The sequence below is a fragment of the Homo sapiens genome, chromosome 22 (assembly GCF_000001405.40).
Source record: "Homo sapiens chromosome 22, GRCh38.p14 Primary Assembly".
Lineage (NCBI taxonomy): Eukaryota > Metazoa > Chordata > Mammalia > Primates > Hominidae > Homo > Homo sapiens.
The window spans coordinates 48,323,145-48,347,504 of NC_000022.11; the positions used below are offsets into that span (position 1 = coordinate 48,323,145).

Genomic DNA, 24,360 nt, shown 5'->3' on the forward strand with positions numbered 1-24,360 from the left:
TGCTGATGCGTCAGTTCCTGGGGTTCTTTACAATATTTATGTGCCATGAAAACATTGGGATACATTTATGATAAACTATTTCAAAATATAAATTTTAGTGCATTTATAGCTGATCATCCCTGTGGAACACTTTTTCTAAAAAGATTTAACTCTTCATACAAATCAGTTTTGTGTAATTTTAAAATTAATTCCAAGTATAAACTTATATAAAGGCAGTTTAGCATTTTTTCTGACATTTCTTGTAACTTGTAGAGTTACACAATAAATCAGAAGTGGCTTCATGTTTTGTGAATAATTCAAATGTTTGCTTCTGAATTCTGATTTTATATCTTTACTGTGGGAAAAATTTATTTTAAAATTGTCTTCTTTACTAATAATTGGATCTTCTGAAGCATCCTGTGAAAATAGTGTTCTTTTCCACCAGAGGCAGTGATTTTAAAATATGATTTATATTTCTAAGCCTGTATTTACTCTGCGATGTTGCAGCAGTTTTCAAGACTGAAGATTCTAAATTCTTTGATGAGTCCAGACAACTCTCTGATATACTTTATTGCAATGTCCTTGTGTGCATTTTCGTTTTGTAATAATTGACTGACAAAGCTGACTGCTGAGTGCCAGTAATTCCTGTGCTAGGTTCGAGCAGGAGACTTGCTACTTACGCAGACGGCTCCAGGGATGGGGATTCCTGTTGGCCTCCATGACAGGTCTCAGTGCTGGCCCATGTAGACCCCTTCATCTCTCCCAGGGCTGTGACCACTGCCACCACTTCTTCCGCAGCTACCACCTTCACAGCAGCCATCCTGCTCCCAGCCTAGCTGTGGGTCTCCAGGACCTCAGAAGCCTGGCTGCAGGGAGACGTGCACACACTCAGCATCTGCCCTGCAGCCTGCAGCACCCACAGGCCAGAGCCCGCACAGTGCATGCTGCTATGCTGCGTATCTCCATCAGACCTCACTTCAGAACCTTCAAGTCAAAAATGAAACTATTGAGCACCTCCTGTCTGCCAGAGTTGGGACCTGGAATACCATGGGTCAAAGTCATATTATCCCTAACGCCCTTAGAACACATGGCCCAGCAAGAGGGCCTCCAGAGGTGTTGGGGCTGTGGGGCACAGCGGGGTGCCTAATCCTGCCGGGAAAGTCAGAGAGGAGACTGGAAAGCTCTTGGAACTTGGAAAAACATTTTCCATTTTCATCTATAGTACATCTCCCCCGGGTATCAGAAGAACCATTACTATTTGTTCTAAGTGGCAAGCGAATGTGTCATTTTTCTGTTTCCTGATTTTTTTTTAATTTTCTAAAATATTCTAGCTTTATTACATGAATTAACTCCACTTTAGCTTCTTCCACATCCACGTTCATTTTATTACCGTCTTGGGAACACTCAAGGGTGATAAGGGACACTGGGACATTGAGACCAGTATCTGGGAAGTGAAATTAAAAGGTAAGCATCTGATTCTGGGAACTAAATGGAGATGACAATTCCATACTCTGTGACTTACCAAGTATTCGACCTTGAGCAAGTGACATTATGCTTATGGGCTGAAGTCTAGGAAAGAGCTTCTAAACAGAGGTGGCTGGAGGCCAGGATTCAATGAAACCATTGAATATCCATATCCAACCATTAAATATCCATATCTAACCATTAAATATCCATATCCAACTGTCGAATATCCATATTCAACCATTGATTATGTATGTCCTGGGGACATCCACAACAGCAGTGACCAGTTGAATTCTTGCCAGGTGTCATTCATGAGAATTTCATGTTGACTTTGCAATAAGGCTGTGGGGTGGGTACTAATGTCTCCTTTATGTAGATGAGACCATTGACTCATAAATCAATTAAGCAACTGGACCAAAATCAGGAGGCAGATTTGAGACCCAGCCACACCCAGTTCTGCCTGACCCTACAGTCTGGGCTTCCTCACACCACAGGATATTTCAATGCAAGGAGCAAGGTGACTGGCCTATAAGGGGTCCCCCTAAAAGGCTAGGTCACTGTATGTGTTTGCTAGGACTGTCATAAGAAAACACCACAGATTGGGTGACTTACCAACAGGACTTTATTGTCTCACAGTTCTGGAGGCTGGACGTCCAAGGTCAGGGTGCTAGCGGGGCTAGTTTCCCGAGGCCTCTCTCCTTGCCTTGTAGAAGGCTGCCCTCTCACTGTGTCTTCACCTGCTATTTTTCTGTGCACACACACCCCCCAGTGTCTCTCCCTGTTTAAACAAAGATGCCAGTCATATTAGCTAAGGTTCCACCTTTATAGCCTCATTTTAACTTAATTAATCCTTTAAAAACCTTATCTCCAAATAGAGCCACATTCTGAGGTACTGGGAGTGGGGATTTCAACATATGAAATTTGAGGGCCACCATTCAGCCCCTAACAGTCACCATCTGTAGTGGGTAGAATGGTGGCCTCCAGAAAGACATGTCCAGAAAATTATATCTGGAAACTGTGAATGTGACCTTTTTTGAAAAGGGGCTTTTTGAAGATGTAATAAGGTTAAGGATCTCCAAAGGGGATCATCCTGGATTAGCCAGGCGGGCCCTAAATCCAATGACAAGTGTGTTTATGAGATACACAGAGGAGAAAAACAGAAAAGAGAGGAGAAAACTCAGAGAATATGATTATGTGAAGACGGAGGCCAAGGCTGGGGAGATGCAGCTGTGAGCCAAGGACTGCAGGAGCCACCAGGAGCTGGAAGAGGCAGGAAGGACCCTCCCCTGAAGACTCCGGAGGGAGCACGGCCAGGCCGACACCTTGACTTCACACTTCTGGCCTCCCGGACTGAAAGAGAATAGATGTCTGTTATTCAAAGCCACTCCATTTTTTGGCCATTTATCACAGAAGCCACAGACCATGAAAAAGCCACCTTACCGTGACTCACAAATGTCATATTCTGCAAGGAATCAGACTTGGGGTAAGAGGCAGCACACGTTTAAGAAAGCTGATGTTGAAAAGCGTGCCCATTGTAGTCCCAGCTACACGGGAGGCTGAGGCAGGAGAATGGCGTGAACCCGGGAGGCGGAGCTTGCAGTGAGTCGAGATCGCGCCACTGCACTCCAGCCTGGGCGACAGAGCGAAACTCCGTCTCAAAAAAAAAAAAAAAAAAGAAAAGCGTGCCCATGTCAAGGAAGGCACAGCCCCTCCATGGGTCTAATGCTGTCTTGAGCATGGCCCTCTTTTTAAACACACCCAGCTCCCACCTTGACCTTCACCTGCCAGAGAACGAAGGCAGGTGTTCCGGCTGGACATGTCTCTGAGGGTCAACCTGCATCTCCTTACCCACAGATATTCATGCATCTGAGCTCCTGCTTTCCTTGCAGGTAACTTTTCTGTCCCTTACTTGATGGGGTTCATCTCTTTTTTTCCTAGAGATAAAATAGCTTGGGTTTCTTCTTCAGGATTTGTATTTAGCTACCAAGTAATTTTGCAGAAACCTTCTGCCACACTCCTGTGGAGTGACCAAGGTTGGGTTTAATATGATGGAGCACTGTCTTTGAGCAGCGAGATTGGATTTGGCATCATTGCCATGTCTGCCAGAGATTTTGAAAACAGATTTCTCCTTGGATCAAAGTCCAAATAGATGGTAGGTCATAAGAATTAGGTAGAAATGAGTGGCCAGTCCCCAGGTAGAGCCCTTCAAAGGGAAACTGCATGTAGCTCATCCGAGGCTAAAGGCACTTAGCTGGAGGGCTGCTAAAACCCAAGAATGGGGCTGCCTCTGGTGCTGACAAAGTTTATGCGTTTAAATTTCTGTAAACCAAAGCCAAGTAAATACTGCAGTAGCAGCCTCTATTTTGGTGACCTTCACTGTAAATCATTTTGCAAAGCAGATAATGACCTCTCTAATGAAATAGCCCCCGTTTGTCTGCAGAAAACAAATTCCAACACCCCCAGTAGATGCCTGAGACCACAGATGGTAAGGAACCCTATAGACACTATATATTTTTCCTGTATATACGCACCTATGATAAAGTTTAATTTATCTTATTGTACTGTCCTTACCTATTTGGGGGCCGAGGTTGAGCATGGGTAACTGAAACTGCAGAAAGTGAAACCACAGATAAGAAGGGAGTGGTGTGGCAGGTGCAGTGGCTCACATCGATAATCCCAGCACTTTGGGAGGCCAAGGTGGGTGGATCACCTGAGATCAGGAGTTCGATGCCAGCCTGACCAACATGGCAAAATCTCGTCTCTACTAAAAATACAAAAATTAGCCAGGTGTGATGACACGCCTGTAATCCCAGCTACTCGGGAGGCTGAGACAGGAGAATCGCTTGAACCCAGGAGGCAGAGGATGCAGTGAACTGAGATGGCGCCACTGCACTCCAGCCTGGTCAACAGAGCAAGACTCCATCTCAGAAAAAAAAAAAGAAAAGAAGAGAAAAGAAAAAAAGAAGGGCAGCGTATCTCTACTTGCAAGATTAACATTAGGCTTTCATATTTGGGCTTGGATTTAAATGTGGAAGACGGCTCTGAATGAGGTCTGCAGGGCAGGCAGCGCGTGCCGAGGAACTGCCAGGCTTCACTGCGCCGCTCATTTGCGCTCACTGTAACACCGCCGGGAGAATCCTCAGTCAAAATCAAAGCCTCTTTCTCCTCTCACCTGTAAATTACAGAAAGTCTCTCTGCTTTTTCCACGTTCAACCCAGTTGCCGCTGAGCATCCATTTGGATTGAGTTAGCCTTGGTAATCGTCCTCTAAACAGAAGCTCGGGGTCGCCTGGGCCTGCCCACCCTCTCCTCTTCTCCCCAGTAAGGCTGCTCACCCCAGAAAGTGGCCTCCCCGACACCGACTCCCGGCCTCGTTCCTGTGACTTTGGGCCCCACAGATGAAGCCCCTCCAGATTCTGGCTTCTTGGACTTTTTCTCCCCTCTCCTCCTCCACAATTGCCTTCACTCCATCCGACCACAGGTGTACTTCCCCAGGTGCAAATATAAATTATAGCCGGATCTCCCCAGCACAGCCTCCTGTCTCTCCAGCTTAGTCCCCAGCTGACCCCAGCACTGCCTCAGTTCTCACACCTGCCTCACCAACGCACACCTGGACTGAGGGGCCACCTGCCCACCTGCTGCTCACCAGCTGGTCCCTTTCTGGCTTGGAATCCCCCGAACTTCCTCCCAGTTGCTAGAAGCAAGTCACTGACATGCAGAGGACCCTCAACTGATCAACCCTCTCTCCCTCTGTCCAACACACCCGGCCAAAGCCCAGTTCCCAGGGAGCCTGCCCCAGCTTATTCCCGCAAGACCCAAACTCGTTGCTCTCTCCTGTGCACACTTGCCCACTTCTAGAATATTCTTTCACCCCTTTTCCCTTTAGCTAATCTTCATGTTCAAATTTTGGCTTAAGTATCACATTCTCAAAAACACCTTCAGTGATCACCCCCGCGCATGTATGCATACACTAATGCATGCATACACACACACACACACACATGCATGTACATGTCCACTCATGCACACACATGCACGTATTCACATATATATTATATATATACACACACACACAGTCACACATACAGGTGCATACAGGCATGCACACATGTCTGGGGAAACCAGCCCTCCATGTCACTCCTTCAGGGCACTATTGTCTGTTTACTTTGGCGTACCTGATTTCTTGCCCATGAATCTGTAAAGTCATGGGAGAGCCTCCTTCTGTCCTGCCCCTGGCTCTAGGCACTGGGTGCTCAGCTCATGTTCTGGAGGTGCACAAGATGCCCCCCCCATGGGACAGCAGTATCTTGGAAGTAGATCTTCCAGCCCCAGTCAAGCCATCAGATGATAGCGCCCCAGTGAACACATGACTGCAACTCCCTGAGAGATTCCAGATGAGAACTGCTCAGCCAAACTCTTCCAGAATTTCTGGCTAGCAGAAACCATGGAAAAGCAAATAATTATTGTTGGTTTAAGCTGACAACTGTTGGTTGATTTGTTATATTTGATAACTGGAAGAGCGTCTGTGGTTTCTCAACAAAGAAGATCCCCTAGAAGGATCAAGTGGAAAATGGGAAGGAAACATCTGGAGGGGCAATAAGCATTATCCTAACATCCTCTGCTTTTTAGTTCCTCTGAATCTTGCGGGACCACCATTCAGGCTATTGGGAGCCAAAAGTGACCATCAAGACATTCTTACCACCACTGTCATAAGTTCACTCCTCTAATCCCAACCTATGTCTTTTGATAGCCCCCTAAAGCTGCTGCTAGACAGTCTGGATTTTGTCCCCTAAAAGCCCTGAAATGCCTCAGAAGAGTATTGAATTAAATCCATGCAAAACCTACACAAAGCTGAAAATGCAACACATAGATGACTTCCCATCTGTAGTGGGCAGCTTCTGAGATGATTCTCAGGAATCTATGGAATTCATTCTCCCACCTTCATGAGTTGGGCTGAACCTATTGGCTGGATTCTACCCAGTAGAATATGCCAAAAGTGATAGGATATTGCTTCTGATATTAGGCTGCAAAAAGACTGCAGCTTCCATCTTGGGACTGTCTGTTGCTCTCATCTGCTTGCTCTGAGCTGCCGTGATCTGAGCCACTCTATGGAGAGGCCCATGTGGCAAGAAATGAGGGAAATTTAGCAAACAGTTGATGAAGAATTGAGGTCCACAGTTCAGCTGCCCAAGAGGAGCTCAATCCTGCCAGCAGCAACATGTGAGCCTGACAGCACATTATTTCCCGCTCAAGCTTTCAGATGAAACAGCAGCCACAATAGGAGGCTTAGCTGCGACTTCATCAGGGATCACAAGCTGGAGGATTTAGCCAAGTGCACATGAATTTCTGACTCACAGAGACTGAGATAACAAGGGCTTATTGTTTAAACTGCTAAAGTGTGAGATGACGTGTTATTAGGCTACACATAGCTAATATCATCCTTTATGTCATCCAATACAACCCATCAGTGGTTCTGCAATGAAATTAAAGGTAATATGAAAATATTTTAAGAGTAAAATGGGAAACAGGGAATCATAGTAATGCTCCATAATAAAAGGCCAAAAACATAGCAAGGCACTAACTACATGGGAATATTAACCCTCCACCATTACCAGCATCCTAGGGGGAGAATTAAATCCTGAAGATTAAATCTTGCAAGTAAAAGTTCAAAGACATTGGTGCCCAAAGAGATCCAAGTCCCTTTGCTCTTGTTAATAAACAATCAAAAATTCATCATCTCCAATGCCTTCTTCTGCTCATTCTCAGCCAGATTGCTTCTTGAGGCCAGGGCAGAAGTGGGCTCTGTCCACCACCAGCTTGGGCCTGAGGCCACTTCTCACTCAGAAGTGGCACTGGCTCAGTACAGTGACTCCGCAGCTTAATGTTAAAGACTGCTGGGTGTTATGGGGCAGAGAGTAGAACACAACCCTGGCCTAAAACCCACCAGGCTTGGAAAACAAACCAAGCTCTGCTCCTTGAAGCAATGATCCCAGGCACAATGACCTTTCCAGAACCTGAGACTTAGTGTTTCCAAAGTCTCTGGACTTGGAAGATCTGGGAGAAGGAAAACTTCTGGGCTTTGGGTAAACTCCTCTGGGCTTGGCTTTCAGGCTCTGTCAGTCAGTCAATGCCTGTGGCCCACGTGATGACCTGAGGTCACACACTTAGAGGAAGAACTCCCTGAACAAGACGTCCATTCTGAGTACACCATCTATAATGCAAGGTCACACGCCAGCCTGCATTATAGTGCCCCATCCTTTCCACGCTGTCTGGCACTGAGCAGATCCTCTGTCACAGCATAGCAGCCATTCCGCCTCCCCCTCCCCATCTCTCTGGCTGTTTCCATTGCCCCTTGCTGTGGACTTTCTAAGGCCGAAGGACCTGCCTTCCAAGCGTGCCTCCTCCTGACTCTATATTAAGCGAACTGGAGACCACGCTGTGGGCTTGGGGGAGTAGCCTGTGGAACTCCTTGAATCTAGGACAAGAATCTGCATGACCCCTGGCCCTGTGTGAAAAACAGAGCCTGGAGGGGCTGGCCCAGCACTGTCCAACAGGCCTGCACCAAAAGCACACCTGGATTTTCAGCGGGTTCTTACACGCACCCCAAACCCAGCTGCTGGGCCCCTGAAAGGGATAAATGCTGTTGTTCTGCATACCCAGGCTGAATAATCCTGGAAAAGCTCTTTCTCTACAATTAGATCCTTGCCCCACCTGCCTACCCAGGCTTCTGAAGCCCACCAACATATGGCTGGGACCCTCCTCTGACCCCATGAGCCATGGCCACTACGTGTGAGGCTCTACCTCCCCCACGGCCAGGCCCAGGGCTGTCTGCCAGGACCCTGTCTTCCTAAAAGTGAAACAAACCTTGCGCTCTACAGGCAGATGCCCACGTACGGGCCAGGCCAGCTCGGCCGCCTCGACCTGATAGGGTAAAAGCCCAAATGCTCAGGTCCTGGCCAGCCAGGCATTACAAGACCATTGCCTCCTGCCTTCCCCGTGCCAGAAGCCATAGTAGTCAGTGCTGTGTTATTTTTCTAGACATAATTTCCTAGGAACTAAGTTCCAGGGCACTGGATTTTGGGGTGTCTTGGCTCGGATCTGCAGATTTGCAGGCCTCCTGTCCCTTCCAAATGTAGCACATGGCCTGGTAGATGGAGAAGACACGCCCTCTGCTGCTGGTGCGTCTGAGGGATGGGAAGAGAGGAGGTGGCTGAGGGCAAGGGGGCACCTTCCTCACCTGGAGTCCGGATGGAGTGGACCAGCCTGGTCAGCGGCGGATGCTCTGCAGCAGGACACACGGGCAGGGACGTCCCCAGGGGAGCAGTGCCAGGCGAGTCCTGAGCTCAGCTCACCTGGGGAGGAGGGAAGAAGCAGAACTGCCAGGCCCCCTCCTCCCTTGTCCCCAGCCTCCCTGTACCTGTCTGCCCTGCAGGGAGACGCCATGGAGGGCAGGACCCAGCTGCCCCACACCAAGGGGGACCAGAGGGGGAGGCAGTGTTCCCAGATCATAGCAAGGTGGGAAGGAAGACGCAAACCCCGCTATCTAACCATGCAGGGACTTGCTACCGCTGATGACATGTGTGCCTGAGCCTCTGAAATCTAACCTCCCTCCTGTCTCACACACACCACACACCATAGACCCCACCCACACACACACCAGACACCACATGCACATACCACACACACCACACACACACCACATACACACCACACACAACCACACAGCACACACAACATGCATCACACACACCAAACACACACCACATATATACTACACACAACCACACACCACACACCGCATACACACCACACACACACACCATGCACCACACACATCATACACCCCCCACACACCATACACACACACACCATACACACACATACACCACACATGCCACACACACCATACACACACAACACACACACTATTCACCACACACCACACATGCACACCACACACACCACATATACACCACACACACAAACATACCACACACCATACACTCCACACACATACCAAATACCACACAGACACACATACACACCACCACCACACACATGACATACACACACCGCTCACTCCACCATACACACACACACCACCTACGCACCACTTTTATTGAGGTTAAAGAGTCCAGCATTTCCCACGGAGGAAGCAAATCCTTTCTCCTCCACAGTCACGCGTTCTGCACGCGTATCCCACGCTGCCATGTGGACGTCTAAGTGGAGAGACAGAGGCTCTTCCCGGCAGCGCTGCCGCTCAAGCGGGAGAGGCCGACCCCGACCCTGAAACCCTCGCAGGCGCCTGGTGCTAGCAGAGGCTGGGGTTGTCCTCGTTGTACCAAGGGTGCCGGAGAGGGAAGGTGGGTGGGCCAGTGCTGCCTCAGAGCCGGGGACAGGGTCTGGTCCTTCCCTGTCACTCCTGTCCCCCTAACCATAGCCCAGCGGCCACCCACGGAGGGCAGAGCAGCCCCAGGGCCTCCAGGCCTGGCCAGAGCTTGGCGAGCTCCACTGCATCTGGAGAAGGGGCTGTGGCTTGCAGTGGCCCAGACTTAGCCCCTAACGGGCCGGGCGCCATGGGCCCCACCTGCCCCCCAGCGCTGGCCTGAACCCACCACCTCCCACCTCCAATGACTCCTCCCCATGCGGCTTACCCCAACCCGCCTCCCTCCAGCCTCACTCTGCTTCCCCTTTTAGCCTCTCCCCCGCCTCCAGCCATCCTCGCCACGCCCAGGCCTCCCATGGGTGACAGGTGACGTGCGTGACGGATGGGAAGCGGCGCACACACCACACCTTAGCTCTGCAGAGGCTCCAGCTCCATCGCTTCCAGTGCATCCACCTGCTCCTGCTGGAATCGCGGCTCTGGGTCTTTCCTGCCTCTGTGGGGCAGACACACCTGGGGCTGCTCTGCAAGGGCGCAGGAGCTCGGGCGCAGAGCCTCGGGGGTGCTGCGAGGAGACCAGCGTGAGAGGCTGCAGCAGGCGGGACAGGTAGCACTGGGCACCTCCTTCCTGACACCACGGCTCCCTGGTCAAGGTTTGGCAGGGCGCTGATTCTCTCATGCACTCCTGGATGCTCACACCCCTCTGGGAGGGCAGTGGAGGCTCCCAGGCCTCCCGGGGTGGCCCTTCATGGGAGGGGCAGCAGAAAGCGTTCCTTGCGTCAGAATGTCCAAGGGACCAGGACTTGATATTCCCAGAGGCAGGTGTAGTGGAGGCTGAACAGAAGCTGGGTCTTAGCCTGGAAGAGACAAAGGCAGCCTGGGGTGTCAGGAGAAAAGAGGGCATTGGTGGTGGCAGTGCCCAGGGTCGGGGGCAGGCACAGAAACGGGGTCCCATCCACGAGCCGACTCCTCCTCAGCCCCGGGTCTCTCCCAGGATGCCTGTGCCTCCCCATCTTCCATGTCTTTTCCACAGCTGGACCAAACCCTTCACCCTTTCACGTTCAATTGGGGCCACCGCTCCCAGGGACCCTGGCCCGTCATATGGTCCCATCTTTGCTGGGCGCCCAGGGATCCTGCTGTCCGTCCGCACCGGTACCCATGCACCATTGGCTTCTCTTCCTCTCCCTCTGATACATGACCCCCAGGGGCCAGGGCAGCAGACAGTCGGTGCTCGTTCTGTACCTGTAGGTGGAATAAATCAACCAAGGAGTGGGTGACGCGTTCCTGGTGCCCCCTTAGGAGGCCACGCCTGGCTCCTCACAGGGATTCGCAGGTACAGGAGAAGTCGGTACAGGCCCCACCTCCCGAGGGGCGTGGGCTCCTTTCTCCCGCCCGTGGTCTGACGCCCAGCCTGTGGTCTCATCTGTGGCCACCCGGGGAAATGACAGTCCCTCTTCGAGCGGGAAAGGGGTTCATTATGTCTCGATCGCTCAGAGAAGGCAACCAGGTCTCGGGGGAGGCCTCCTCCAAGGTTATCCACGATGTGGCCGAGTGGGTACAAACCGCACCCACCTACCCAGCATTCTGCCCTCGCCTCCCGGGCTGGCACCGGCCCTTGCCAGTCCAGCTCTGAGCCTGCCCAGGGCTGAGCCGGGCTGGGATGAAATCCAAGGTCCCATCCTGCATTTGGCTCCTCGGCAGGCGTGGCTGTGTCCCCGGGGCCCTGACCTCAGGCTCTGTTCTCTCCCTAGAAGTCACCCTCACCAAAGATGTCCCCAAAATATCATGGTTGCCCTTGGTAACCAATCACGCATGTGTCACCCATTCATGTATTTAACCCTTTGCTGAAGGTTGCCAGATTTTCAGTGGTTGTGCCTTCTGGGGCCACAGTTCCCGACTGTTTGCTCATCATAGAGATGGAAGCTCCCTTAGCCCTTCCCACAGGATGCAGGGATGTGGAGACCCCCACCCTCGCCACCCTGTGCCTCTGTGAACTGAAGGAAAGAGGAGGCACAGTGTGGCTTTCTGTCCCTGGAGGGGAGCAACTGAGGCTGCCTCCCAGGGTGTGGTGCTGGGTTGTGAGGGTCTCCCGGCTGCACTGGTGTCCTTTGGAAAGGGTCGTCTGGGAGACCGAACATGTGGTTGGGAGCCCCAGCTCCAGGTCCTAGTCCCGCAGTGGAGCATGGGCCTAGAGCAGGCCTTCCCTTTCTCCCCTGCAGCTGGAGGCTCCTGTGGGCTCTGGGCGGCCGCCGGCTCCCTCTCACCCTTGTGAGTCCCCTGCCCCTGCCCTGAGCTGCAGTGCCCAGGCGAAGGGCCTGCGTGTGTGTAGCTCTGAGGCAGGGACTGTGCAAGTTTCAAGACAGGCGCATCCCTCCAGAAGCCTGCAGGCTGAGAGGAACCACACGGGCGCTTACCAGGAGGCTAACAGATCCCTGCACCCCAAGACCTGGGCCCTCCATGCAGGAGGCCCCAGGACAGAATCAACCCCTCCACTCCCAGCTTCTGACATGTTGACACTTGTCTCCCTGGCAGGGCACACACCTCAGCTGGGCCCTGTGGCAGGTGAACCCCTGGAGGGAAAGAAACAAGACTCATTCAACACAGACCCAGCCTCAGGCCCAGGAAGACTGTAGGGGTTGGGGAGGTACAAAAGCAGCCCCAAGGTCCCTGTGTCCCCACTGTGGGGTGATGCGGCCAGTGGTGACTGGTTCCAATGCTGGCCTGAAGCTCAGCTGGGTAAGGCCTGATCTATACTTCCAAGTGCCTGCTGGGGAGGTCTGAGCAAATTCCACGGACCGGGTGGCTTCAGCACCAGAAGGCACCATCTCATCGTCCTGGAGGCCAGAGGCTCAAGAGCCAGGTGCCTGCTGGGGCAGCTCCTCCTGGGGCCTCCTTCTTGGCCTGCAGATGCCGCCTTCTCCCTGTCCTCACAAGCCCTTCCTCTTGGGTGTCTGTATCCTCTTCTCCTCTCCTTACAAGGATATCTCCATACGAGATCAGGGCCCCTGTAATGACCTCATGGAATCTTAGTCATCTGTTTGAAGACTCTGTCTCCAACAACAGTCCCATGCTGAGGTCTTGGGGGTTGGGGCTTCAACACGTGAATGTGGGGGCAAAACTCACCTGTGACAGGTGGGAAGGGCAGCCTCCAAGGACCGAGGACATCTAAGAGGAAATGCCCAGGACAGCTGTCCTCTCCTCACTAGAGCTGACAGCTGCAGGTGAGGGGCTACAGGGCCCACCAGGGGGTCTCCTGTGTGCATCCCCCCCGGGAGGGCTGATTGTGGGGCAGCCCTTTATGGGTCCCCGGGCACAGCCACAGTGGTGCCAAGTCAATCCCTGAGTGGATTTCTTTTCTACAAGCCACCTCTGCACATAGCTAAATTAAAAATTAGATCACCCACCTAAGCCCAGAGCATTCGAAAACACCTCCCCGACCTGTTTGACTTTGGATGGGCAGTAAGGCAGCACTGTGGATGGGCAGGAAGGCAGCATTTTTGGTTTTGGTTTTGTTTGTTCCTGTTGACTGAGTTGTTGGTTGGGTGGGGATGGGGTGAGGGCTCATGACCAGTAATGGCTTGGAGGAAAATCAGCCCCTTCCCTCGGGGAGGGGGCTCCATGGGCCAAGGCTGTGGAGGCAGGGAGACCATTCACAGCAGGGCCCAGGGCAGCAGACTCTCAGCAGCCTCTCAGAGTCTCAAAATCTGTTGGTGAGCAGGATACTGTTGGGTGGAAGGAGGGCCTGGATATAATCAGCTCTGGATAAAGATTCCTCCTCCTTCTCACTTTTCCCCAGCAGGAAAAGTGCTCACTCTAGCCACATGGTGCCCATCCCCAGGGCCTCTCCGCATGGCTGACTTGGGCTTCCACACAGCGTGGCAGTTCTGAGTGAGTGTGGCTTCTTCCACAGAAGCTGCTTTCTCCAGAGTGAGTCCCAAGGGACCCCCTGTAAGTGGCAATGCCAGGACCTTGAAGCCCCAGGGTGGCACTTCTACCTCATCCTATTGGTGAAACAAGACTGAGGCTAGCAGGCTCCATAGGGAGGGGAGGAATCGGCTTCTCCCCTCCCAGGGGAAACACCAGTGCTTCGGGCTCGGGGTGGGTGGGAGGAATCGATGTGGTCCTCTTACAGGCGGTCGCCCCATGAGCTGCTTCCGCCTTCTGTGTGGTTAATGCGTATTAATTAGGGCTAAATGTCACAGCAACTGAGAATGAAGTTACCTTTATCTCTCTTATGACAGAGGAGGAAATGGAGCTCATAGAAGCTTGGCATCCAGCCCAAGACCACCCACCTGTCAATAACCTTGACACGACAGGAGCCCTCGCCAGTCCGACCCCCAAACTCCAGCCCAAGACCACCCACCTGTCAATAACCTCGCCACGACAGGAGCCCTCACCAGTCCGACCCCCAAACTCCAGCCCAAGACCACCCACCTGTCAATAACCTCGCCACGACAGGAGCCCTCACCAGTCCGACCCCCAAACCCAAGCGTCTGTACAATCGTGTTTCCATTGAGGACAAAGCAGTTGATCTGTTTGGAAGATTTTGATCCCTGGCATGGGTTTCTGAGGAAGGGTCTGAGATTCACGTTGGAAGTCTCTGAATGAGCCTGCCATTTTGTCAAGTGATAAGAAATTTCCAGTAGACATTCCTTCTGTGCATGTTGAGCTTGTGGACGGAACTGGGTGGCAGGCTGTGGTTTTAGGACATGTGGCCAGATTGGCTGAGGGTAGGAGGGTGCAGTATTGACTGCAATTGTGAAAGCGTAGAATTTTCTCGTGGAAAGTGGCTTGGAACATGGTCCAATCGAACATCATCATCCTACAACTGAGGAATGTGAAGTCTGAGTTTCTAAGCTCCCAAACCCGTCTGAAATGAGAACACAGACACACACACAGACATGCACACACACACACACACAGACCACAGACACACACATAGACATGCACACACACACACACAGACCACAGACACACACACAGACATGCACACACACACACAGACCACAGACACACACAGAGACACACAAGATGCACACAGACATGCACACATGCACACACACAGACACACAGATGCAATATAGACAGACACGCACAGACACATACAGACACACACACAGACATGCAAAGACACACACAGATACACACAGACATGTAAAAACACAAAGACACACAGGCTCACACAGACACAGACACATACAGATGCACACAGACACAGACATGCAAAAACGCACAAACACACACAGACACAGACAGACCCATGCACACACTGACACGCAGACACACACACTGACACACAGTCTCAGGGAGGCTGAGCCGGGTGCTGGGTTAGCTCACAGACTTGCTTCCACCATGGCTTCTGACACATGGGGGTGGCCATGAGGATGGGGGAGGCCGTGGGGACAGAAGCACAGCCGGCCTGACCCAGGCGGGCCAGAGCTCACCGGGCTCTGGTCCTTCGTTCCCAGGTGGGCGGCTCCAGCCCCTCCATCCCCTCGGGTCTGGGCAGGCTCTGTCCCACCGGGCACTGCCTTGGCCCCCCTGGCACCCAGGCAACCCCTAGGCAGGCCTGGCTGGGCACTGGTGTGGGGCCTGGCTCATACCGGGGGGTGGGAAGAAGGGTCCTGCCCCGTCTCCCTGCATGTGGGCTCTGTCTTCTGCAGAACAACCTCAGGCCTGCAATGGTGTTGGCATCTGTCAGAGCAAAGCAGAACCTCCCTCCTCCCAGACTCCAGTGGCTGAGCTGGGCCGTCAGGGCAGGGATGGTGAGGGTTCAAATGCCAGGGCAGAGCAGGCCACGGCATCCCGTCCACCCACAAATGTCTCCGCAGACCCTGGTGATGGCTGTACTGGGGGTGCAGCCCCCAGAACCACTCGAAGCTCACGTAGACTGCTCCCCCAAGCACGGGGGTGGGGGAGGCTGGCCCCCTGAGCAGGGCCCGGCCTCTGCACCAGTGCAGCCCCACCTCCCTCCCAGCCCAGGTCCAGGCTGCTGGGGGTGCAGAGAGGGCGAGCTGCAAGTGGAGGTGAGAAGGGAGCTCGTGGGACGCAGGCTCAGAGAGAAGCCTCCGAGGAACCTCTCTGTTCCCTTCACGAGCGGAGCCTTGGGGCAGCTCCGTGTTTCTGCCACAGTTATCTCAGGAGATGATGGCTGTGGGCTGTGTTTGTGGGTGTGTGCATTTGTGCACCTGTGTGTGTGTGAAGAGGGAGAGAGACAGAGGGGAGTGAGACAGAGACCTGGAGAGGGGATGGGAGAGAGAGATTGGAAGGGGAAGGAGGAGGAGAGAGGCAGGAAAGCAGAGAGGGACAGGGAGAGTGCGGAGGGACAGGACCATTAGGGAAACAGGGAGAGGGAGGGAGAAGAGAGGGAGAGAGGAGGTGTGAGAAACAGCAGGAGAGAGAGGGAGGGCGCGGGAGAGAGAGGGATTCCAAGAAGGGGGAACCTCCCTACAGCTTTCTCCCACTGTCTCTCAGAGACATCCCTGGGGCCGCCTCTGCAGAGGGGGTTGCTGCGAGCTGCTGGAGGGAGTGAGGGTGATGCGTCTCCCGGTGCCCCAAAATGAGGCCTCCGCCTGCACTCCAGCAACCCAGACCCAGGGAAAACACCACCAGGACCCCTCAACAGCAAGGGAGGCTCTGTCAGACAGGCCCAAGCCTCCAGGAAGCTGGGCCCTGCCCCTGAGCTGGGGGTCTTCAGGCCCCTGCCAGAGCCACTTCCTCTTAAGACACCTACAAGCCGGTCCCCAGTAAATTCTAAACGCCACGGTTGTTCCCATGGCGTTGCTCTCTCACTTCTCTACCTCTAAACTGTAGGATTCCTAATTCTATTCAAAACAGCGGATGTTTCTCTGTTTTCTGGGGCACCAGGATGTGTTGTGAGTGCTGAGGGCAGACGTGGGATCCGGAAGGCCCAGCTGGGAACCCACGCTCTGCAATGAGCTGCCCTGAGTCCTTGGACGAGGTGGAAAATTACTCCAGTCTCAGTTTCCTGTAAAGACAGATCAGCAGTTACACCCCTCCACGGGTTCTTTGTGATGTCACTGAGGCGGTGAAAGGAGCACCTGCCTCTAATGGCACCCACCATTAAGTCGGATCTCAGCAACCATCTGCGTGGCAGGAGCTATCACACTGGAGCCTCGCAGTAGCCAAGGAGAGACGCCAATGAGGGAATCATTTTTCCACTTGGTGAAATACATTTTTGCCCCGTGAAAGCACGAGGAGGGCCTGTCTTGGATAGGTGGAGTGGTCCTAGGTCCTACTAGATGGAAACCTCAGGACTCGGAAGAGGTTCACCTTCGGAGCGAGTCCCCCTAAGGGTGAGGTTGCCCCCAGGGAGCACCGTGGGAAGAGTCAGGGACCCCTGGTGCTCCTGGAAGCTGGGCTTCACCTGGAGGGCTTGGAGATGAGCCCCATGGGGCATCCTGATTGTTGTGTTAATACAAATGCTCCCCCCCAGGGCTGGCCAGCCTCACGCCAGCTGCCTTCTTCTCATGACATGTGGTGTCCTCACAGCCAGCCGTAGGATCTGCATTGAGTTCAGCAAGCGGAGGCGACTTCCCCAGGGCCACACAGCCATGGAGGGCTGCGGCTCAGTTGCTGACTGCTCCAGCTCACCCTCACGTCCATGAGGTTTCTGCTCCAAAATGCTATTGCTAAGAAAAATGTTCCAAACACGACCCATTGGCTGACCACAGGTCTTCATTATAAAAGCATCTGAAGGAGTTGCTGAAGGGGATGTCCTGTTGGCTGGACCCTGTCGTGCTGGTTATATGTAAACTGGCTGAACTACCCAGTTCTTAAACTGTCACATGTGAGTCCTTCCTTCCAAGGTCAGAGGCTCCTATCCTTCAAGGGTTCAGGGCTCGTGGTGGGCTCAGCGGGATCACAAACATTGGCATGGCCAGCCCAGTCTGGGGAAGCTGCAAGGGCCTGGGGGGTTGTGGCCTTGGGCATCACAGCATCAGACTTGGGGAGCCTGGTGACGAGAGCCTGTCTGAGAAATGTGACTTGTTTCCAGGAGCAGTGGGAGCCCCTTCCCTCCCTGATGAAGGGGGAGTGGCAGTTCCCTCCCTGATGAAGGGAGAGCGGTGGGCACATGGATGACGCTGCCCCAAATCGCTCCCCTAACCTTCCCAAATGACGCCCCAGCCACTGTGGCTGCTGCTTTGAGAACGGACAGGAGCCTGGGGAGAAGCAGAAGGAATGCAGGTGAGGCAGGAGCTGATTGAAGAGCCCTTCTGCAGGGCAGGAAACTGGGCCTGGGTCCCGGCCGGCTGGACGGGGCAGCAGAGGCAGGTGGAGCGGATGGCTGGGAAGCCTGGGATAGGCAGACTCAGCCGCTCTCACCAGGCCTTTGCCCCTTCCCTCCCTAACGCCTTCAGAAACCGCCCATGACTTTCTCTTTTCCAGATACCGAATTGTACATTTTGTTTCACCGGCTGCCGTCAGCTGCTCGGCTTCCTCCCCTCAGGGCAGTGCTATTTAACACTCTCTCTTCGAATCTCGCCTTCCTGCCTCCCCCGTCTGCAGCCTCCCCTGCACTGCGCACCCGCTCACTCTCCCCTTCCCCCAGGAGAACACATTCTGGCAGACAGAAGTTCAAATGAGAAGTTAAAACGCTTTGAGGCAGCAGGCAGAGTGTCAGCAGAGCCGGTGGAAACCGCAGCCTTGGGGGCAACACGTGGACCCTGCTTGGGGATAAAGCAGGACAGACAGAAGGAGCAGGACAGACAGGAGGAGTAGGACAGACAGGAGGAGCAGGACGGACAGGAGGAGCAGGACAGACAGAAGGAGCAGGATGGACAGAAGGAGCAGGATGGACAGAAGGAGCAGGATGGACAGAAGGAGCAGGACGGACGGGAGGAGCAGGACAGACAGAAGGAGCAGGACCAACAGGAGGAGCAGGACAGAGAGAAGGAGCAGGACAGCCAGACAGGAGGAGCAGCCTTCTGGGACCCAAACAAACAGTCATGCCCCAAATACCCCCAGGGCTCTTGAAAGGGACAGCGGAAGGCACAGGCCAGCTTCCTCTCCAAGCAGACCCATGTCCATGAACCCTGCAATCCCAGGCCAGGAGACAATCTTGAAACATGCTGTGACCCTCTCTTCCCTGGCGGAAGCCCTCACGGAATGGACTGAAGTGAGTCCGGCAGGAAAGCGAAGCCGAGGTTCCCTTGCTTTGCAGCCATGAGGTCTCGGCCCCCTCTCATCCAGTCTCTTTGTCTGAAATGTGCAGGCAGCTGAGGCACCCCCGGGGGGTTCAGTGAGGATGAGGAGGGAAGGAGGCGGCCGTGGGACTCTGGGCATGCATCTGGCACAGGGCGGAGCCGTCTGAGATGCCAGCCATCCCTCTTCTTGCTGGTGTCGACTTCATCTGTCATCGCTGCTCATCCCTTCCACAGCAGTTCTGCCTGATGGTTCACCTGCGGCAGCCGTGCCACGTGAAGATCTGGGTTGGTTTCCACCCTCTGAAGCTCATGGTCCGCTGGAGGAGTTGAGATCACAGACAATATAACTTGTCCAGCTTCCCTGCAGCTGCCTTCTTGGGGCTTAACTTTAGATCCCAGGAATCTCTCTCAGAACCAGCCCTGGCCTGCCTAACCCACCTGCTGTCCTGTCCCTAAGCAACACCTCCATCCTGCCACCCAAGATACAGCATTGTCCTCCAGCGTAACAATGTCATCCCCTCACTGAGTGCCCTGATGGAATGTAAAATATGCCACCCACCCTGATGTGGAAGGGGAAGTGTCCTCTTCATGGCATACCCATGTGGGCTGTTTTCTCCTGTCCACCCAAGACAGAGAGCCCCAAAGGGGCTGGGGCCAAATCTGGGTCATGGCCACATCCACGAACAGTGGGACAGACCCTCTGGTGTGCACCATGACCCCCTTCAAGGAAGGATGTGTTGCCAGCTTCTCTGTGTGCTGCCTACACACGGCCTTCATCAGCCACCGTTTGGGTCCAACTGAGGTAGTCACTGGGCCTTCACCCAGCTCACTCCCCCTTCTCTCCCTTCTACCCATTGGGTCCCATGGGCCCTGCACAGGCATCCTACCTGCTAACCTCCACCTCACAGCCGGCTTTTTGGAGAACTTGATCTGCAACAGTGAATGAGTGAATGAGTGAATGAATGAATGATGTTGGCAGAGTAGGGATTATCAGTTTTGTTGTTGTCGTTGTTGTTTTTTGAGATGGAGTTTTGCTCTTGTCACCCAGGCTGGAGTGCGGTAGTGTGATCTCGGCTCACTGCAACTCCGCCTCCTGGGTTCAAGCGATTCTTCTGCCTCAGCCCCACAAGTAGCTGGGATTACAGGCATATGCCACCACGCCCGGCTAATTTTGTCTTTTTAGTAGAGATGGGGTTTCTCCATGTTGGTCACGCTGGTCTTGAACTCCCGACCTCAGGTGATCTGCCCACCTCGGCCTCCCAAAGTTCTGGGATTACAGATGTGAGCCACTGCGCCCTGCCGATTATTACTTTTTTTAGTGAGGAAAATGAGGCTCAGAAAGGATAACTATTTCGGTCAAGGCATCACCTTAATGATTACAGGAAGCAACGAGAAGCTGTCCTCCTAATTGCAGGCTGATACCGAAGGACACAGTGAAAAATTGGCTAAGATGGGAATGGCTGGAGGACGGTGCTGGAGAAGCCGCTGTGGGCTGCCCGCCGGCAGCCGCAGTGCCACAGAAAGCCAGGTCTTCCCTGCTGGTTTTTCATGGATTTGGCCAGAACCACCGAGGAGCTGGGGTCGATTGTGTTTTTTATTCCTTCGCGCACAGCCTGAGAGCTGCCTCTATAAAGCCCGAGTAAGAATCGATGTTTTCTCTCCAGAAAGAAGTCTTCTTTCTTGGAGCCATTTTACCAAAATCATCAGGGTTGACAACAAGCTGGATGTGTTCATGAGCATTCCCGAGTCACAGGCTTCTTCCCCCCAGTGACAGTCCCTCCTGCAAGTGCCTAAATCTTGCCTTGGGAGTTTTTTCGCCTCGGTGTTTGTGGCCAGACCTCACCCCCACTGCCTGGCTTCCTTCTTCATGTAATTGAATGCGCAGTTCATTAAGATCTTTGGTGGTGGCGGAAATGTTACAGGGGAAGAAAAAGCTGTTGACAATTTTATTTTTAAAAGTAACTAAGAATAGGGTAAACCTTGCAAAAATAGCAAGCCTGCAAGCAGAATTGTGCTCAAGGCCAAGTTCTCCTCCCCAAAATCGGAGCATGGCATTTAATAAGAACAGGGCGCAAGGCTCAGGCTCAACTTCCCATGCACTGGCGTGGAGGTCTCAGGAACAAGATCAAAAACAACAGCACATGAGGCCGGGTGTGGTGGCTCACACCTATAATCCCAGCACTTTGGGAGGCTGAGACCAGTGGATCACCTGAGGTGGGGAGGTCGAGACCACCCTGGTCAACGTGGTGAAACCCCGTCTCTACTAAAAATGCAAAAATTAGCCGGGTGTGGTGGTGCACACCTATAATCCCAGCTACTTGGGAGGCTGAGGCAGGAGAATTGCTTGAACCTGGGAGGCAGAGGTTGCAGTGAGCCGAGATCACGCCACTGCACTCCATCCTGGGCAACAGAGCAAGACTCCATCTAAATAAAAAAAAAAAACCATGTGGAACCCACAGCCACTGGCTGTGAATGTTTGTGCAATGTCCAGTGTGCCCTTCCCCTCTCACCAAAGAACACAGATAGACTTACCAGATGTATTTGGATTAGATCCACACGTCACCTCATGAAATACAGGAAATCTCTTTGGTCATGTTTCGTGTAGTCCCAGAACTTAGAAGAACAAAGGTAGTATGCAAAAGTGTCTATGACTTTGAAACTGTTCCATTAAAAATTTTTTTTGGCCAGGCATGGTGGCTCACGCCTGTAATCCCAGCACTTTGGGAGGCCAAGGATGGCAGATCACCTGAGGTCAGGAGTTCGAGACCAGCCTGACTAATACGACGAAACTCCGTCTCTACTAAAAATACAAAAATTAGCCGGGTGTGGTGGCATTTGCCTGTAATCCCAGCTACTGGGGAGGCTGAGACAGGAGAATCACTTGAACCCAGGAGGCAGAGGTTGCAGTGAGCTGAGATCGTGCCATTGCACTCCAGCCTGGGCAACAAGAGTGAAACTCTGTCTCAAAAAAAAAAAAATTCTTCTTTTGATATAGAGATTTGATCTCACTATGTTACCCAGGCTGGTCTCAAACTCCTGGCCTCAAGTGATCTTCCTGCCTCGTCCTCCCAAACTGCCCTTGTGTAGTTTGAAGGAAGTTGGGTATTTCAGTGAAAAAGAAGCATTTGGGAAGAGTGTTGTCTTTCTGTTCACCCTCTGAGCCCTGGCCAGAAGGAATGGAAATTTGAGGGCCAAAGATCTTTTTTCTTTTCTTTTCTTTTCTTTTTTTTTTTTTTTTGAGACAAAGTCTCACTCTGTCGCCAGGCTGGAATGCAGTGGTGTGATCTCGGCTCACTGCAACCTCAGCCTCCTGGGTTCACGCCATTCTCCTGCCTCAGCCTCCAGAATAGCTGGGACTATAGGCATGCGCCACCACACCTGGCTAATTTTTATATTTTTAGTAGAGATGGGGTTTCACCATGTTAGCCAGAATGGTTTCAATTTCCTGACCTCATGATCCGCCTGCCTTGGCCTCCCAGAGTGCTGGGATTACAGGCATGAGCCACCTCGCCCAGCCAAGGGCCGAAGATCTTAGCCCAAGGTTCCCTGAGACAAGAGAGACCGACAGACAGAGAGCAGAGGCCCGACACCGGAAGTCTCCAGGGCCAGCTGGAGGGGTCTGTAGAAAACCTGCCGAGGGAAGAGCTCACACTGACCCCAGGGATCCGAGGGCCACTCTTGTTGGGAGCCCCTGTGTCTCCTTGTGTCCTGGGCATCCTGCAATTCAGGAGTTTCACATGGCCGGGGGCTCCACGACTAAGGAACTGAAGACCGAGTCTGTCAGTCAAATCGCCCCACGGCCCTGCGAAGCAACCAGCAGCCCCAAAACACAGTAGAAAGTTATGAACGAGCTGTGTGTTTCTTGGAGAATCAGGAAGGCCTGGACAAGGTTGTGCCACAGTTGCAGAAGGTGAGGTCGAAGGGTGTCTCAGCCGTGTGCTCACATCCTGAAATCTTAGATAAATTGTTCTCAAAGATCCGCCAAAGGGAGGTTCCCATGGTGCTGGCCACAAACGCTGCCCAGAATGGGGAGGGGGGTGGCATTTATAAAGGATCTGCTCAGCTCTGCTGGCCGCGTGAGCCCCCCAGGCCCCCAAGGCAGGCTGCGCCCTCTATGTCTTAAGGAAACACAGTCTCCAGGAGGGATACCGAGTGCAAAGCAACTACAGAAAAGTGCACACACTCCAGGTGCCGTGGGTGAGCGCCCCTGTAGCATTCTTTCCCTAAGCGTCGAATGAGCCCCTACTGTATACCAGGGTCTGTGCTGGGTTCTGAGGTCCAGAGAGAAACCTGCAGGGATGAGGAAGAGAAGGGGTGATGGGTCAGCCAATGGCAACGTGGTGCACGCAGGGCTACACCCCAGCAGGCCCGTGTTCTGTGAAGCCATGGGGAGACGCTGGCTGGGGGGCTGCACAGTGGAGCAGACAGTCCTGTGACCACAGGACTCACATCTGAGCAGAACTTGAAGCCCCACATTACGAATCAGTGCAGCAAGTCCCAGAGGCAGGAGACGACTTTGCTCCAGGTCCTGCCGGCATCCCCAGCATCCGGCCCTGATGGATCCTTTATGGCAGACGATGAATTAGAAGCGGAGCACAGACTCTGGAACCAGCCCAGCTCTGAGACGTTTCTCTGCAATGGCAGAAGTAATTAGTCAGATGCGGGTCTTTGAGATCATGCTTCTGATTAAGAAGAATAAAAACCAAGACGTTAATTAAACCAAATTCCAGGAAGCAACAAGCATCTTCACACTTCTCGCTCTCTGTCCTTCCAAGGCTGGGCCCCAGCTATCTCTCCTGTCAACGTCTCCTCCGTAAGCTTTTCTACAGGACAGACCTGAGCGTTCTCTGCTCAGAACCACGGTCTGGGCTTCTGCTCAGTAGGTCCTGTGGGACCCCAGCGTCCCCGCTTGTGGCTCCTTCACGCCCCTGGGCCTGCCGGGCTGAGTCCCTGCAACCAGCACCTGTGTCTTGCTGTGGGGAGGGTGCTTCAGACTGCAGAGTCCACTTCTCACATCTTGCAGGCCAGACAAGAACGCCCTGTCCCCCAGCGCTGGGGGCTGACGGGGAAAGGAGGCGTGAAGACTCTGGCTCCTGTCCTTGGTAGAGATGATTTCAGGCATGCGTCTTACTCCATTTTTCAGAGTTCCCTGAGTCTAGCAGTTTTCTGTGGAGGCTGAACTGACATCCCCCTCCTCCTCACCGGCTGCCCCTTCCCTGCCAAACTCCCCCACGCCCTCTCTGCCGTATGCCACTCGGAACTCCTGGACCTTAGCCCTAGCCCTCAGGGCTTGCTCCTGGAAAATTGCCCACATGAGACTCGAGACCCAAAGTTCTTGTCAGGGCATGGCTGTGTTTTCCTGTTTCCC

The 24,360-nt window shown here is 53.2% G+C and overlaps 1 long non-coding RNA gene across 2 annotated transcripts, besides 5 other annotated features; it reads left to right on the forward strand.

Moving 5' to 3' along the window:
• Nucleotides 359–860: an enhancer, noted in NCBI's record as "H3K4me1 hESC enhancer chr22:48719315-48719816 (GRCh37/hg19 assembly coordinates)". NCBI's record gives its function as "activates a minimal SCP1, AML or CMV promoter by ChIP-STARR-seq in naive H9 embryonic stem cells {active_cell/tissue: H9 hESC(naive)}" and the evidence as "EXISTENCE:reporter gene assay evidence [ECO:0000049][PMID:30033119]".
• On the forward strand, nucleotides 16,886–17,555 carry LOC105373080 (uncharacterized). Of its 2 annotated transcripts, none has more exons than XR_938324.3 (2): nucleotides 16,886–17,141; nucleotides 17,282–17,555. It is a non-coding gene; the product is annotated as an uncharacterized LOC105373080 (long non-coding RNA). The 2 variants fall into 2 exon arrangements; XR_938323.3 differs by having other exon boundaries at nucleotides 17,338–17,555.
• Nucleotides 17,717–18,342: an enhancer, noted in NCBI's record as "H3K4me1 hESC enhancer chr22:48736673-48737298 (GRCh37/hg19 assembly coordinates)". NCBI's record gives its function as "activates a minimal SCP1, AML or CMV promoter by ChIP-STARR-seq in primed H9 embryonic stem cells {active_cell/tissue: H9 hESC(primed)}" and the evidence as "EXISTENCE:reporter gene assay evidence [ECO:0000049][PMID:30033119]".
• Nucleotides 18,343–18,968: an enhancer, noted in NCBI's record as "H3K4me1 hESC enhancer chr22:48737299-48737924 (GRCh37/hg19 assembly coordinates)". NCBI's record gives its function as "activates a minimal SCP1, AML or CMV promoter by ChIP-STARR-seq in naive H9 embryonic stem cells {active_cell/tissue: H9 hESC(naive)}" and the evidence as "EXISTENCE:reporter gene assay evidence [ECO:0000049][PMID:30033119]".
• Nucleotides 22,797–23,384: an enhancer, noted in NCBI's record as "H3K27ac-H3K4me1 hESC enhancer chr22:48741753-48742340 (GRCh37/hg19 assembly coordinates)". NCBI's record gives its function as "activates a minimal SCP1, AML or CMV promoter by ChIP-STARR-seq in naive H9 embryonic stem cells {active_cell/tissue: H9 hESC(naive)}" and the evidence as "EXISTENCE:reporter gene assay evidence [ECO:0000049][PMID:30033119]".
• Nucleotides 23,385–23,972: an enhancer, noted in NCBI's record as "H3K27ac-H3K4me1 hESC enhancer chr22:48742341-48742928 (GRCh37/hg19 assembly coordinates)". NCBI's record gives its function as "activates a minimal SCP1, AML or CMV promoter by ChIP-STARR-seq in naive H9 embryonic stem cells {active_cell/tissue: H9 hESC(naive)}" and the evidence as "EXISTENCE:reporter gene assay evidence [ECO:0000049][PMID:30033119]".